Below are 16,338 nucleotides of genomic sequence, written 5' to 3'. Positions count from 1 at the left end.
GGAAATTAAAATAGGAGTGTTAAATGAGAATAACCAGCAACAAAAGATTTCTTAAAAGGACTACTTAAGGCTTTAAACTTAAGTGGCATGTTAAAACTAATTACTTAACATCATAGCAAGGTAGAAGAACACAAAGCTCTAGAACCAGAAAGATCTGTGTTCAAATTCTGCTTCCCAAAGTACTACCTATATGAACATGAACAAATTATGCCATCCCTCTAACATTCAGTTTCCTTGTCTACAAAATGGGATGAATTAATCACCCTTACCACTGCAGAGTTGTTTAAGGATTGAGATAAAGTTAATTACCTAGCACTGTACCACCTAGTAGATAGCCCTCAACGAAAGCTTCCTTTCCCTTCGTGACTTAACTGAACTATACATATCTGAATAGAATTACTATGCTGGACTACAAGTACTTCCACAGAAATGAACTGGGAAAGGTTACAAATCCAAGGAGAAGGGATTCTAAGAGGAAATTTCTCTTATTTTCCTTCAGAGAATACCAATGAAAAATTATCTGGAATAGGTTTAAAAAAAAAAAATGAAAGGAAGCTGGAATAGACCAAGTTTGGAGTCTGTTCCTGAAGGTATTTGTACTTTATTCCATCTCTATGCAACACTCAGCAGCAGTCTGCATGAACACCTCTCATACTCTCAAAGTCTCCCCAAGGCAACAATAAAACATAAAATGGAGTATGACATCTAGTGATCACAGGGATTATGGTGACAACAGATGTTAATGATGATTCAAAGTAACCAACTAAAGGATAAATCAGCAACTGTATAGTAAAACAGAAAGGCATGCCATGTATTTTATTTACAAAGAGTTCCTTCAAAATGTTTCCAACGGCCGGGGGCGGTGGCTCACGCCTGTAATCCCAGTACTTTGGGAGGCCAAGGCAGGCGGATCACGAGGTCAGGAGATCTAGAGCATCCTGGCTAACACAGTGAAACCCTGTCTCTACTAAAAATACAAAAAAATTAGCCGGGCGTGGTGGCATGCGCCTGTAGTCCCAGCTATGTGGGAGGCTGAGGCAGGACAATAGCGTGAACCCGGGAGGTGGAGCTTGCAGTGAGCTGAGATCGTGCCACTGCACCTCCAGCCTGGGCGACAGAACAAGACTCCATCTCAAAAAAAAAATTTTTTTTCCAACAAATTTGTTTTTGATAAGAAAATATCTGATAATTATTAATTATCTGCCCCCATCCAATGCAAGATGGAAGTAGTGCTGAACATTAATCTAGAAAATTAAGAATTTTTAAATATATCCATAAGCTTGTATGTTTGACATCATGAAGAAAACCACACTATTCCTAAAATATATTATACTTTATGTCATAAGCAGAGACAGACTATTGCATGAATAAGTCAAACTGAATTAGCTTGCCATAGCTTTTTTTTGAGACATTTTAAAAGTTATTATTTTTATATTTCATTTACTCTCTTGGGTATCTAAGCTAGAATTGATTTACTTTCATTACCTTTCAAATTATCCTCTTGATTTAGGCTTTCAGTGCAGACTGGGGAACTAGAAATTCCACAGAAACAAATCTCAGAAAACAAAATTCCCTTAGAATATGAGTATCAGAAAATAATCTTCTAGGTGCCATGACATCAAAAGTTTAAAAAGTTGATACTTTCCACAATATTTTCATATAGCAGTTCTCTAGAAATGCTTACTGGATGAATCTACAATGAACCAGAGTGAAACTGCCTGTTACCTAGTAATATCCCAATGGGCATTTGGTCTGTAAATACCTAATATCCCAATCCAGTATCTGCTACTAGATTAACTGTAATTGTAAGGTACTGCAAGTGGGGGGCATAGGGGAGTAGATTTTTTAAAAGAAATGTTCCAAATTATACTTTGGCCTAAGTATTCAGCCAAAGTATGCTTCTCCAATTCTCCCTTGGCCCATCTCAAGTCATTTTTGGTATCCCTGAATGTCACATGGTCAGAGATTGCATGATCATTCAGTTACCATCATATCTAAACAGTATAACAAAAATCTGTCCAGGCACAGTGTCATGCCTATGAGCCCAGCACTTTGGAAGGCCAAAGCGGGCAGATCACTTGAGCCCAGGAGGCTCAAGACTAGCCTGGGCAACATGGCAAAACCCCGTCTCTACCAAAAATGCAAAATTTAGCTGGGCGTGGTGTTGTGCGCCCATAGTCCCAGCTACTTGGGAGGCTGAGGCAGGACAATCGCCCGAACTCGGGAGGCGGAGGTTGCAGTGCGCCGAGATTGCGCCACTGCACTCCAGTCTGGAAGACAGAGCCAACCTTGTTTCCAAAAAAAAGTGAGTTATGCGCTGGGTCGCCAAGATGTCGTTCCCAAAGTATACTCCTTCGCCCCTGGCCACTATGCCCTCAACCCAGCCGAACAGGACATATTTTTGGAAACCCAGCGGGCGCAAGCCAAGTGGTTGACCATTAAGAGCCTGGCTGAAACCTGCTTACCCTAACTGCCGAGGGCTCATCGAAAATCCTGCCTTGATTCCCTGGACCTATGCAAGATCAGCAAGTGTCTTTCCTAATTTCAGACCCACTCCTAAAAACTCACTCTTGGGAGCTCTGTGTGGAATTGGGCCCCTCTTCTTCTGGTATTATGTTTTTAAAACTGACATGGATAGGAAAGAAAAACTTATCTGGGAAGGAAAATTGGGTCCAACATTTAACCTGTCATATTAAGTCTGGCAATGATGACTATGTATTCTTGCTTAAATAAATCATCTATTAATCATTAAACAAACAACAACAACAGAAAGTGAGAATTTTTTTTTTTTTGAGACGGAGACTCGCTCTGTCGCCCAGGCTGGAGTGCAGTGGGGCAATCTCTGCTCACTGCAGCCTCCGCCTCCTGGATTCAAGCAGTTCTCCTGCCTCAGCCTCCCAAGTAGCTGGGATTACAGGCGCATGCCACCACACCCAGCTAATTTTTGTATTTTTAGTAGAGATGGGGTTTCACCATGTTAGCCAGGCTGGTCTTGAACTCCTGACCTCAGGTGATCCACCCTCAACCTTCCACAGTGCTGAGATTACAGGCGTGAGCCACCACACACGGCCCGAGAATATTTTTTCAAGTATGTCATTTAGGTGCAGTGGCTCACACCTGTAATTCCAGCACTTTGGAAGACTGAGGCCAGCAGATCCCTTGAGGTTGGGAGTTGGAGACCAGCCTGGCCAACATGGTGAAACCCCGTCTCTACCAAAAAATACAAAAATTAGCCGGGCGTGGCGTTGTGGGCCTGTAGTCCCAGCTACTCAGGAGGCTAAGGGAGGGGAATAATTTGAACCCGGGAGGCAGAGGTTACAGTGAGCCAAGATCCCACCACTGCACTCCAGCCTGGGTGACAGAGTTAGATGCCATCTCAAAAAAAAAAAAAAATTTACTCAGTATCTGAATATTCATTTTCCAATTTGAGGTGTTTTACATAAAACTTGGAATGAAAATCTTTTTGTGTCACTTTGTATGTTAAAATTTTCTCAATTAGATGAAGTATAAATGTACATTAATGCAAGAAGAAAATGTCACAATGATTATGAATGCTATTTATGTACGAAAGAAAGTAACAATTTTCAAATAGGCAAATAATAGTGTAATAATATTGAGAGAGTTAGCTAATGAATTTAAGAAGAATATTAAATCCTTTTTCAGATGACAATTATAAAAACTTTAACGAAAAATACAAAGCAGAATAGAAATTTTATATCATAATTTCAATTGCATTCAGTTGTCATACCAGTATTAATTATACTAAACAAAATCATTTCTAAAGACTATATTTAATTTTTAGTTATTTTATACCATGAATTTTTTTTCTTCCTTTTTTTTCTCAGACTCAAAATCCATGAATCTTCTATGAGAAAATCTTATTTGGGAATTCTTCACATTTTTTTGGAGATAAATTAAAAGCAGAATGTTAACTCTACCACTTCAGAATTTTATAAGGAGGAAAACCTCCAAAAGTTCTGTACAACATAATCATTTTTGCTCCAGATATTATGTATGTGTATACATATTTGTATACACACACATATAAACACAGACACATATAAAGACGTTAGAGGAAGAAAGTTCCTCCACCTATTTTGTATTCCACTAACTTCAGTGGAAAGTGACCCTCAATTTAGTGTCTGTATGTGCATGACAGCAATCATAGGAACAATCTAGCAACAGGCAGCACTGAGAAAATTATCATTACTGCACTATAATGTCCTACTCTTAAAATAAGATTACTAATATTTCTGAGAATAAATTATAATAACTTCAGGGATAACATTTCATATCTTCACATATGCCAGAAGTTTACTCTATGATGATGATACCGACTTCTGCTCCAGCTTTAACAAATATTGGTTTTCACACTTGGCCATTTGGCATTCAAAAAAGGGATATTTTGTGCACTAAATGTACAGCCAAAATATGTAGGTAATTCCTATGTCAACTCATTATTTCATTCCATTTTCATGTGCTTATATAAAATATAATTTTAAAAGAGGATCTTATATAGTCCAAGGATGTAGAAAACAACTCACAGCCTCCCTTATGGGTCTAACAGGAGATATCATAAAAAACTCAACCCCACACAGAAGCACCAGTGATCTAATAACATTTTATTGTTAACTGCCAATAATCAAGAAAAATCCATGCAAGAAAGGTGTTAGTTCTTCTGATCTCTATGCATTTTCAATGAATTCCCTTCACAGGCTGAAACCTGTACACAATAGAATTGCTTTCCACAGCTAAAAACTTCCAGATCTAAGTTAGCCAGACTTGACTTCATAGTCTCTTAAAATATAAAGATTATTAACATCCTTATACATTAAAATTTAATATTTTAAGATTTAGACAAGTGTCACGTCAGATGAATTTTTAACTAAGATGAAATTGTCTGTGATTCAGTGATATCCAAAATAAAAACATTTATAAATGCCCAAAATCCCAGTCCAGCAACTGATACCAGAGTAACGATCCTTATGAAGCAAGGGAAAGATGGCTGAGACTGAATGCCACAGATAGGCTGTGGTTCTCACTCAGCTGCTTAGTCATCTTAGACAAGTTATTTGCCCTTCCAAGTCTGTTTCCTAAACTATAAAATGAATATATTAATATCTTCTCTGTCTATATGTCTAACTACCAAATGAAGTTATGGAAATTACAAACTCTGATATATGTAAAATATTGAGTATCATGAGTGTTCCAAATCTAGGATCTTTGTTTTCATACCAACTTTATAAATAGACTGTGATTGATTTTTATGTAGTTTTATGTTTACTTTTAATGTTTACTCTCTTTAGAAACTACTCGGAACTTGATTATTTATTTATTTGCCATTCAAGAATGTGGGTATGATTTATGAAAGTGTATTAACAGTTATCTGAAGTATTAATGTTAAGCTAGAACTCAAATTACAAATAAAGAAAAACAAAACAAATATAAAATCATTTATAATAGAGAAAGCTTGCTTTTTGCCAAGAGTAATAATAATCTGCTGAAATCATTATTGTTAGTCACTTAATGACTACTGTCTTGGTTGGTACACATCAGCAGCAGTCAAATACCACCTCCCAGAACCCAACCACCCAAAAAAAGATACTGGGAATAAGAATGTCCTCAGAAAGCTCAACTGTCAAACTAAAACATAAACCAGAACATAGATTAGGAAGTCAAGCCCAGAGGATCAAGCAAAAGATAGGACTAAATTTAAGATACTAACATGCAATGAGAAAAAATATATCTACCAGAAATATGGAGGTGAGTAGTTTGGTCAGCAATGGAAGCAGTGAAAAAGGAAAGGTACAAAACACTATCATATAAGCATCAACCAGGAGAAAGGATATCCTAGAAGGCAGATTGATGTAAGTAACTGCTTGACAAGTATATCATGGAGCTGAGATTATCACTTTATCAGCGCCGATGCCATTTAAAACTTCTAGTCATTTATAATCAACTCCCTTGTTGTTATCTCATGATCTTGTTCAGTAGGCAACTATTGAAATTTGGTTTTCCATTCAGCATTCTACATTGAAAGAATATATTTCTTGATGTAAATTTCTAGTCCTTATTTTACTTGAATAAACTGGCGTTCTCTTGTGATGGGAATGTATATGCTTAGATAAGAGAGTGGGCTCTGGAGTCAGGTTACTTTGAGTTCCCACTGACTTACTTTGTGATCTTGGGAAACTTACCAATCTGTTGTCTGTTTCCTCATCTGTAGAAAGGGTGCCTAATAATAGGACCTATTTCCCAGGGTTGTTGTGAGGATTAAACAATTCATGTAAAGCACTTAAAACAGTACCTGTCACATAGCAAGTGCTAAACAAATGCTAGCCTGGTTATTATTTTTGAACATGAATTAACATTCCTGTGTCTGATCGCTCTGACACTGATCAGTTTCTAAATCTAAAAAAACTAAAGCAGGGCCACTGTGTTTCACAACTCCGGGGGCATCAATGCACAAGAGAACAGAGTTCTCCGGCCGCTCTGAACTGATGGCATGACCTGGTGAATTCAAGGTCACCCACCTGTGAGGTTCTTTTTGGTAGCCAATCTGTCCAGGTGAAAACTTAAGAGTCATAAACCTAAAATGTCTACCCTAGTGAGGCAGATCTCCTAAATAAGTGAGGCACACCTTGAGTGGTGAGTTTGCCAAGAAACTATGAATGATAAGACTGTGGAGTGTAGAGCACAAGTCAAGCCTTAAATGCTTTCAAATACAGATATTTTAAGATATTCTGTCAGGCAAAAACAACAGTATAGGCAGATTTTAGGCCTGAAGCCCACCAGTTTGCAAACCCTGCAGCACCCTTTCATTCAAACCTTAAAATATTTTAACTTAGGATAATGTACATCCTGTGACCTATTTTTAACCTTTATTTTTCTTTACTGCTCTGTGACTATCCCTTCTTTTCTCCTCCCTTGGTTTCCAAAAACTTCTGTGCTCTTCTCCATACCTCTTGACACACATACCTTGAGTGGTATCATTCATTTCAACTAACATTTCAATCAGCTAAAAATTCCAGATATTTATATCCAACTCTATCAATGCTAAGAAATACCTCATGAATTGTGCCTACTTTCTCATTGCCAATGCCTTTGGTCAAGTCCTCATCTGATTTCTAGACGTTTACAATAGCTTTGGTTCATTCTATTCTCTCATTGTCCACATCCAGCCACCAGTAAATCCTATTGGTTCTAAAACCAATCAAACCATATCCACAATCCAACCATTTTCACCTAAACCATCATCATCTGTTACCTAAATTACCACAGCAGTTCCTTTTACTATTCATTTACCTCATTTACCATACTACTCACTTACCATATACCATAGAGGATCCTGTCCCTCCTCTGTTTAATCCCCCATTAGCTCCCAGGTCACTCAAGAGTGAAATCCCTTGTGTTTTCCTCAATCATACCAGGCTCATTCCTGGTCCAGGCTTTCTCTACCTCCCACTCCCTTTATATGGATGCTCTTTCCTCAAATGTCTTGGGTCTGAATTGTTGTCTTGTATCAGGGCTCTTTGCTCAAATGTTACTCTTTCATAAGTGCTTCCCTAAACACCCTCCCCACATCCACTTGACTCCCCATCTCCCTTTCTGCTTTATCACCATTGAACACATCTGTTTTTCATGTTTATTTTCTGTCTCTCCCAAGAAAATATGTTTCATTACACCAAGTTTTTTCTTTATTGCTGTATTCCTGATCCTAGAACAATACATATTAAGCTTCATGTTTAATGAAAATGACTGAAAAGCTTCCTAACTTGTCTTCCTTCTACTGATCTCCCCTTCTGTAGTCCATTTCCTCCTATCCCCCAGGTAGTATACCAAAAAATGCATCTGATCATTCTCCTGCTTAAAAGACTTTGATGGGATCCCCACATCCTTCAGGGTCTGGCCCCAAATTTAATCCGTTTCCCCATTCCCCAAAATAGTTGTACACTCTCCACATACTAACACTTTTATCATCCCTGAACCTACTTGTGCCATTTATCCATGCTTTTCGTGTATCTCTGTATTTACTTGGCCAAAGTTTTATTCATCCTCCAGGTCTAGTTATGCCATGATGTCTCCCAGAAGCCTTCATCTGTGTACCCCCACAGCACTCAGTTCAGGCCTCCATTATAGTACTTGTGCTATACTATGTATTTACCAATCTGTTTCTGCAACTAGATTATAAGATCCCAGAGAGCAAGTTCATGATGTTGTGTCCAGAGTTCTTTTGTCAGTGCTTAACACTATACTTAGCAGAGACGAAACACTGTTAAGTCTGAGGAATGAAAATGTAATGAATGAAATTTTATAATGAATGAAATATTTGTTTATGAGAGGTTGGGGGAAAAAAAGAGTCTTCCTGAGAGTCAGAGTGCTTTACAACATCAAACCTGAGACCTGATACGAGGTTTTACATTTGCTAAAGAAAAATTTCCTTTAGTAATTTCAACAATAGTTAAATTAGTGGATTCAGGAATCAGAAGTAAGTTAATGGCTAGTCAGGAAAGTTATTTACTCCACGGAACATACTAATTTACAAACCAGATATTGTGTGGAGCAAAAAGTGTACTCTAATCTGAGAAAAGGCATCTGCAATTTTTTTAATTAAAATTGATTTAAGTGGGAAGGAAAATTGAAAATGATCTAGTGCAACTACTTCATTTCACAAATGAAAAAAATAATGAAAAGGGGAAGAGCATTAACCCAAGTTAGAAGATCAGGATCAGTACCAAGGTTTTATTCAAAATGAAGGGCTCTCTCTCAAATGTAGCACATTACAATTCCAAACTACTCAAGGATTAAAGCCCAGAACTTATTCCATTACTTTGCTGTGCAAACTTAATGAAGAGTGAAGATAATATTGCAAGTAGGAAAATAATATTGCAAGACTGAAAATAATAATACCTGGGTTCTTATCTAGGTTGTATTTATGAGATCTCAGACAATTCACTGAACCTTGTAATGCTACCTTAATTAACTACCACATGGGATTAATGTGAGAATCAAATGAAAGCCCTGTTGCAAATGAAAAGTATAATCATCTTTTCCATCCTCATCCTTTCAGGTTCTCCAGTGCAGTCTCTTAGCAAGTTTTCAATCTATATGGGGGGCCATAAACCACTTGCAATTCTGACTAGTTGGAGTTTTGTTGTTCTTGTAGTACAGGACAGAAAGCTGCGAGGGAAGGGTGGGGAGGTTGTTTATGTATTATAAACCTCCTCCCAAAGGGGAGTATTATCCATATCACCTATCAGTTAAAGACTCTTTGAGACTCACAAGCTCTTAAAAGGTTCATGCTAAAAAATTATCTTTTTCCCCAGTACAAGCCCTACAAAACCTTTTACCATTAGTATATTTCAGAAAATTCTGTAACAATTACTTGGGTTATATTTATCTTTTCCTACTCTACTACAGATGTGTCCAAAGCAGGGACTCATAGTATTTCGTCTTCAGGAGTTGTGAATTGTTTTAATTGGGTCAACATCCAGTTGAAATATAAAACTGAGCGGCTGGAGTCGTGCCTGAGAGAACTGAATGAAAAAGAACTGAACGACGAGAGACCAGAATTATACCTCCCTCTGATTTCCCTAAATCCCTAAAGACCTTTAGAAACTAGGCTCTGGGCTTATGCAAAAGTCCTCTACTACATTCTACATAGCCACAAGTAGAATTAGAAGTATTTTTATATTAATAACATCTTATAAAATACAATGTTTTAACTCCAGGTGTGAAAATATTTAAAGGAAAGTACACTAAATGGATTTTTTTTAAATTATTCATTTGGCAAACAATCTTGTGCAAAATGTTCACTATATAACATGTACAAGGCCAGGCGTGGTGGCTCACGCCTGTAATCCCAACACTCTGGGAGGCTGAAATGGGAGGATGGCTGGAGCCCAGGAGTTCAAGACCAGCCTAGGCATATAGCGAGACTCTATTTCTTTAAACGAGAAAAAAATTATGCATTCTGTGAATTCCATTTACATTTAGAATCTCATTCTCATAAACAGTAATATTTTAATTTGTATAAAATCAAAGCAATTGTAAATATAAATCATAGGCTTCATTTTTTTTCCTGCATACACAATATGCCTTAATTTTTGAAAATGTTATAAAAAGAATATCCTTGGCTGGGCACAGTGGCTCACCCCTGTAATCCCAAAACTTTGGGAGGCCAAGGCTGGTGGATCACTTGAGGTCAGGAGTTCAAGACCAGCCTGTCCAACATGATGAAACGTGGTCTCTACTAAAAATACAAAAAATTAGCCAGGTGTGGTGGCGGGTGCCTGTAATCCCAGCTACTCAGGAGGCTGAGGCAGGAGAATGGTGTGAAGGCGGGAAGTGGAGCTTGCAGTGAGCTGAGACAGTGCCACTGCACTCCAGCCTGGGCGACAGAGCGAGACTCCGTCTCAAAAAAATAAAATAAATAAAATAAAATCCTTGAGACAAAGCCTAGCTCCATATACCAAGTTTCATATATTTTTCTCCACTTAATTCACAGAAACTTTTATAACAGCATAAAATAGCTATTATATGGAAAGATACAGTATTTTGGAAGCCCGCAGATTAGTCCATTTTTTCCCCAAATTTCTTAAGAATTTCCCAGGGAGCCTATGAAAAATACCCTAGAGATTCTGATTCAGTTGCTCTGGGCAGAACAAAAATTTATTCCCCAAAGTGATTCTGATGATTAACTATCATTGGGAAACACTGATCGAGTATAGCGGTTCTCAATTTGGCACATATTAGAATTTCCTGGGGAGCTTTTAGAACTCTTAAAACCCAGGCTGAGGTCCAGACCAACAGAAATAGCGCCAATACTTTAAAGAAAAAAAGTTCCCCAGGGAAGGTTTAGAACCATTGATCTGATCTTGTAGAATTTCTCCTGACTTCTAGTTCACTTTGTTTTTGATGTAGTTGTTTTGTTTTTCATGTGGGTTGACAAAAAAAGCATGAAAAAAAAAAACCATCTCCTTCATCTCAGCACAATGATGCCACTTAACAATTGGCTAAGTTAAAGTGGAGCTAACCTTTTTGTTTCAGAAATCACTAGAAAATACTTTTAGTCCGAATTTTAAATAAAATAGACTAATCTTAATCTTTAGCTCCTACTACCAACCTATTAACATATCTTACAAATAATTCTTTAAAGTTTTCTAACCTCTAAACCAGTATTTTAAAATTTCAAATTCTTTAAAAGGTCTGTCATCACAGTTCCTTACCAGCAAAATTATTTTGATACTTGAATTTGATGGCATTGTTTTTTCATGATGTACAATACATAACTCCATATATAGAAGTTACTTTGTGCACTAAGAGAGGGGAACAGATATTCTTCCATATTAAAAAAAAAAAGGATTTTAGGCTCCATTAGCAAAACCCCATCATTGGTTTGTCCATACCTCAAGAGCAAGGTATTAGTCAACCCATTCTAAGAATTTCCTTTTTAATACAAAAGATAACGTTAAAAAAATCATTAAAAATGTGCCAAGTGCAAGCTTATCATTTTTAAAAGTGCATTTTACTTTCCAAAAATTTTTACACTTTGATTGACGTGCCCTCTGGGAATCTACTTTTATTATTACAATACTGAAGTTGTTGAAATACCATTTTTATCCCTCTCAAGATTGCTAGGTATTTAGATATTTCAAATTTCAGCAGTGTTTGTGATTTTTGCTTCTGGGTTTTAAAAAACGTGTTTAGGATGCTTTACCAAGCCGATCACATTACTACAGATAAAACTTCAGCAATGTATATAGTCTATAGTAAAACGTATATTTTTTCTTACTTCTATTCACAAAGGAGTAATTGTGAGGTTCTAGATTTTCAAATTAATATTCTAAGTAAGAATCAGATGCAATGGATTTTGTTTCAGTAAGTTTAATGAATGAAAGCCCCCCTTTCGCATTATTAAAGATATATACGAATGAAAATTTGAATTATAACCAAAATTTAAGTATGCTACAGTATACTTTGTAAATGTCCCCAAACTCGAATGGAAACAAGAATGTGCCTCTTAAGGCACAGAGCAAAAAATAAAAAATCAGAATCTCAATATTCAAGTGATACACACCATCTAGAAAATTGGGCTAGCCGGAATAATCCATGGAGTTTTTACGTTAGGGTAAAACTGTGCTAAACTAAGTTTCTGCAAAGCCTAAGTATTTTGTGTTAACATATTAAACTTGAAACTTGCCATCTCAAATTCCAAGGGATAAGACTGTATACAACAGATGGCCTTTTGGTGCTGCTTAAAACTTCCCTGAAAACCAAATGTTTATTTTTTTAGAGGTGTTCTCGGTTCTCGGGAAGCAGTCAAATATCAAAACACCCATTCCTGAAAATTCCTGGCTGGTCCTATCTGGCCGGGAGCACCGACACCTGGACGGGCAGAAGCAGGACCTCAGCACCGAGCCGGGACGCTGAGAGCCGCCCGGCGCACACGGAGCCCGCCCGGGGGGCGGGGGGCTCGCACGTGCCCGGCCGGGGGCGGGGCCGGCGCTGGCGAGCAGCGACCCCGGCTCGGGGAGGCGGGCGCGGCCGGGCCGACCTCCCCCGCGGCCGCGATCCAGCAGTTTACATAAGAGTGCGCGTCATGGAACTGACGGAGCCACACAGAGACGTCTAGGTCATGCAGGAGGCGCCCGGCCCCGGCCCGCTCCCGCCGCCCCAGACCCCTCCTCTCATCCGACAGAAAGACAGACAAGAAGGGTTCCCGACCTGTCGTGCCCTGCATGTTCAGAGTCTGTCATGTTTGGTCAAGAACGGGGCGGGGCTGGAGGGCAGGTCTGCGAGGCCGGCGGCGGCGGGGCGCGGGGAAGACCCCCCGCGCCGCCTGCGGGAACCTGCTCCCGGCCGCCGCCGACAGGTGACGAAGTGGTAAAAACTCACGGTTACTAGTGAGCGACACAGACACAGACTTTCCAGTCTATTAACAACCACGCCAGAGAGATGGGGCTCTAACTGCAAACACTGGGCAACGGCCCCGCGCTGCCGGCGCTGCCGCTCTAGTCTCTATTCGCCGCCGGTGGCTGTGGCGTGGGAGCGGGCGGGCGGCGTGCAGCGACGCGGGGATTTGGACAGTGGCCGTAACGGTGATTTCTCCTCACCAACATGGCGGCACCCGAAACAGGCGGCTCGAGAAAATGGCGCCGGCCGCAACACCTTGCCCGGGACTAAAGGGCAAGAGAGATTCCTCCGCGAGCCGCGGCCCTTGCCCAGCCCGCCGGGGCCGAGCGCGTTGACCATTGGAGGAGAGTGCCCGTCAATCACCTGCAGGGGCGGGTCTTCGCCCTTCTCTGTGCAGCGGCGGAGGCGGCAGCCTAGTGGCGGGGCCGGGCGGCGAGAGACGCGGCCGGATGGCTCCTCGAGTGTCTGCAGGAGGGGGAGGCAGCCCACGGGACCTACGAGGGCCACCAGCGCTTCTGCTCCCGGCGCAGTACGGGCCGCGGTTTTTCCTGCGAGACGCCCGCCGCCCGAGGAGTTCCAGACGCACCAAGCAAACGGGCCCCAAAACCGTTAGCCGAGGCGGGCAGGGGTGGGATAACAAAGAACAAGGCGGCTGTAGAGTCCTTAAATTTTTTTGTGAAAACCTTTGTTCTTGTAATAATAGGGAAATGCAGTTTCTCCTTCACAGTTGTAGCAAGTATCTGTTTTTGTAACGTTTAGTGTTCAGAATCATGTTTTAAGGAAAATAGCTTGCCATGCAGTTTTTTCTTGTATTTGCTGTTAAATTTACCCAATTATTACTTAAATAGGAATAGCTATTGAAATAATTATATAAACGTTACTTTATTTCGTAATAATATTAACATGTAAAATGTATGCGAGTATTTTATAAATACTATTAGGCATGCCTTTTTTTTTTTTTTTTTTTTTTTTTTTTTTTTTTTTTTCTGAGATGGAGTCTCCTCTGTCGCCCAGGCTGGAGTGCAGTGTCGCGCTCTCGGCTCACTGCAACCTCTGCCTCCTGGGTTCAAGCAATTTTCCTGCCTCAGCCTCCCGAGTAGCTGGGACTGCAGGCACGCGCCACCACGCCTGGCTAATTTTTGTATTTTTAGTAGAGATGGGGTTTCCCCATTTTGGCCAGGCTGGTCTCGAACTCCTGACTTCAGGTGATCCGCCCTCCTGGGTCTCCCAAAGTGCTGGGGTTACAGCCGTGAGCCACCGCGCCCGACCATGCATGAGTTTTTTATACTTATGAAGTGACCTTAAAAAATTTTTAAATGACAAGTCAGTGTTTTGGCCTATTTAATATATTAGTCCTGAAGGAAAGTTCCTTGCTTTTTACTAAAATGATAGACTCAATGATTAATCCAAATATCTGACTTAATTTGTCTTTCCTTAATAATACATTTTACTAATACATAAATGGAATGCATTCAAAAACAATTGCAATGAGTGGATTAAATTGGAAATGTAAAGTTTTTGATATTAACATATACATTGAAAATAAAGGCCGGGCGTAATGGCTCACGCCTGTAATCCCAGCACTTTGGGAGGCTGAGGCGGGCAGATCACCAGAGGTCGGGAGTTCGATACCCGCCTGACCAACATGGAGAAACCCAGTCTCTACTAAAAATAAAAATAAGCCAGGCGTGGTAGCCCATGCCTGTAATCCCAGCTAATCGGGAAGCTGAGGCAAGAGAATCGCTTGAACCCGGGAGGCGGAGGTTGCGGTGAGCCGAGGTCGAGTCATTGCGCTCCAGCCTGGGCAACAAAAGCGAAACTCCGTCTTAAAAAAAAAAAAAAGTCGCCCCTTTTTTTTTTTTTAAAGTTGAATACAGCCAGTGACAGGAGCTGTGGTCGCACTATTTTTTTTTTTTTTTCAGTTGAATGCAGCCAGTGACAGGACCTGTACTTATAGCCACACTTTACCATAATAAATTTGTAGGGAGCTTTCAAAAGGTACTATGAAGGTACTATGAAGAAACTATGTTAACATTTGGAGTTACATTAAAATCTCAGGACTTCGGTTTTATCGTAACTGTTTTAGTTAATTTAGGCCTTTCTGTAGCTAATTTGGGTAACTGCTTTCTTGAAGTTATCCAGAGGCCCTTGTGGTAAACAGTTGCTGTTCTTTCTTGCACTTCTGTTTTCCCCTGTCTCCTGTATCTGGAGGTCTGAGAATTTCTTTCAAGCCTTCGTTAAGGTGTTTGGTTTGTGATGGCGTAGGACAGTGCAGTTCTCTCTGGATGAAAAGCCTCCTTTTCGAACCGTTGGCATGCGCCACTTAAGTTTGATGGTAAAATTTGTCATCAGGTCTTGGTCTTTTTCTCTAGGTAACAGAAAGGGGAGGTGTGTGGGGGTGAGCATTGAGGGGCAGTGCTCCTTTGAGGCTATGGGTTTTTAGAATCTAGAAGTGCTTAGAGATCTGTGACACCTTGTCTTTAATTGCCTCAGTTAAGGAGCAATGTAGGTATCAAAGAGATTACACTAATTAATTTTAAACCTAACAGATTTTACCTAATAATGACATATGGATCATGAGAACTGCAGAACTCTTGTCACGTAATGACCTTGTCCAAACCTCAGCAAAAGGAGACCACCAAACTATAGCGAGCCTTGTAGCAGCATAAGGTCGTGTTCGTAGGATGACCGCAGATCTCTCCCCGGGCCTCTCGGTTAAATGTCTCCCAGAGAAAACTCAACACTGCCCACCTGGCCATAGGCCCTTGACCCCCTTTCTTGGAGCATTTACAAAAAAAGAGCTTACAATTGTGAGTCCTTCCTCTGTCCCCTTGACACGTATGTGTTCTCTCCTACAATTCAGGAGTATCTTTCTTAAGGACCTGAAAGCCATTCCTTTGAAATTTAATCATCTGGAAGGTTGCTATCTCCCATTCTTGGTGGGAGGGTAGAATCCTGACTTCAGTGATAATCGCCAGCTAGCTGACGCAGCTGATCTAATCACTTTTATACTGACAGACTTTGAAATGTTTTGCATGTATTCCGGCTCTTTCCCCCTCCCTTATTCTCTCTTTAAGCTGCTCAATTATCTCTGCATTGAAATGGAACGCTGCTCTTTCCCCTACTGTTAGTAATTACTGAATAAAATTGGTTTTCACCACTTTAATGTCCAGGTTTTTTTATCTTTGTCAACCTTCCCCACCCTCTATCCACACAAAAATTGTAACGGACATAAAGGTACCAACACTTTATTTTGCTAAATAAATTAAACATATTAAACATCTTACGGTTATTTCATAAAAGACATTTTAACATCAAGAAAGTAGGAAGGATATCATTATTTTTGTTTCGTTGGTTTTTGTTGGGTTTTTTTTTGAGACAGAGTTTCACTTCACAGGCTGGAGTGCAGTGGCACGATCTCGG

The 16,338-nt window shown here is 40.0% G+C and overlaps 1 protein-coding gene and 1 pseudogene across 2 annotated transcripts in view, besides 4 other annotated features; one reads left to right on the top strand and one right to left on the bottom strand.

The window, feature by feature from the left end:
- ZC3H6 (zinc finger CCCH-type containing 6) overlaps nt 1-13,156 on the bottom strand; it is a 64,463-nt gene extending 51,307 nt beyond the window's left edge. For both annotated transcript variants that reach the window (NM_198581.3, XM_006712519.4), the window contains exon 1: nt 12,727-13,156. In NM_198581.3, the coding sequence (NP_940983.2) occupies nt 12,727-12,758 (32 nt within the window). In that variant the 5' untranslated portion in view covers nt 12,759-13,156. The remainder of the gene's footprint in view (nt 1-12,726) is intronic.
- NDUFB4P6 (NADH:ubiquinone oxidoreductase subunit B4 pseudogene 6) lies at nt 2,311-2,752 on the top strand (annotated as a pseudogene).
- Nucleotides 6,034-6,234: a silencer, noted in NCBI's record as "peak3818 fragment used in MPRA reporter construct". NCBI's record gives its function as "represses an SCP1 promoter by STARR-seq MPRAs in K562 erythroleukemia cells {active_cell/tissue: K562}" and the evidence as "EXISTENCE:reporter gene assay evidence [ECO:0000049][PMID:32103011]".
- Nucleotides 12,387-12,866: a silencer, noted in NCBI's record as "silent region_11871". NCBI's record gives its function as "represses an Ori minimal core promoter by ATAC-STARR-seq in GM12878 lymphoblastoid cells {active_cell/tissue: GM12878}" and the evidence as "EXISTENCE:reporter gene assay evidence [ECO:0000049][PMID:35858748]".
- Nucleotides 12,882-13,454: an enhancer, noted in NCBI's record as "NANOG-H3K27ac-H3K4me1 hESC enhancer chr2:113032876-113033448 (GRCh37/hg19 assembly coordinates)". NCBI's record gives its function as "activates a minimal SCP1, AML or CMV promoter by ChIP-STARR-seq in naive H9 embryonic stem cells {active_cell/tissue: H9 hESC(naive)}" and the evidence as "EXISTENCE:reporter gene assay evidence [ECO:0000049][PMID:30033119]".
- Nucleotides 13,057-13,266: an enhancer, noted in NCBI's record as "active region_16391". NCBI's record gives its function as "activates an Ori minimal core promoter by ATAC-STARR-seq in GM12878 lymphoblastoid cells {active_cell/tissue: GM12878}" and the evidence as "EXISTENCE:reporter gene assay evidence [ECO:0000049][PMID:35858748]".

Source organism: Homo sapiens, chromosome 2 (assembly GCF_000001405.40).
Source record: "Homo sapiens chromosome 2, GRCh38.p14 Primary Assembly".
In the NCBI taxonomy this organism is placed as follows: Eukaryota; Metazoa; Chordata; class Mammalia; order Primates; family Hominidae; genus Homo; species Homo sapiens.
Note: the sequence above shows the minus strand (reverse complement) of the source record. Positions and strands in the feature narration are given on the sequence as shown.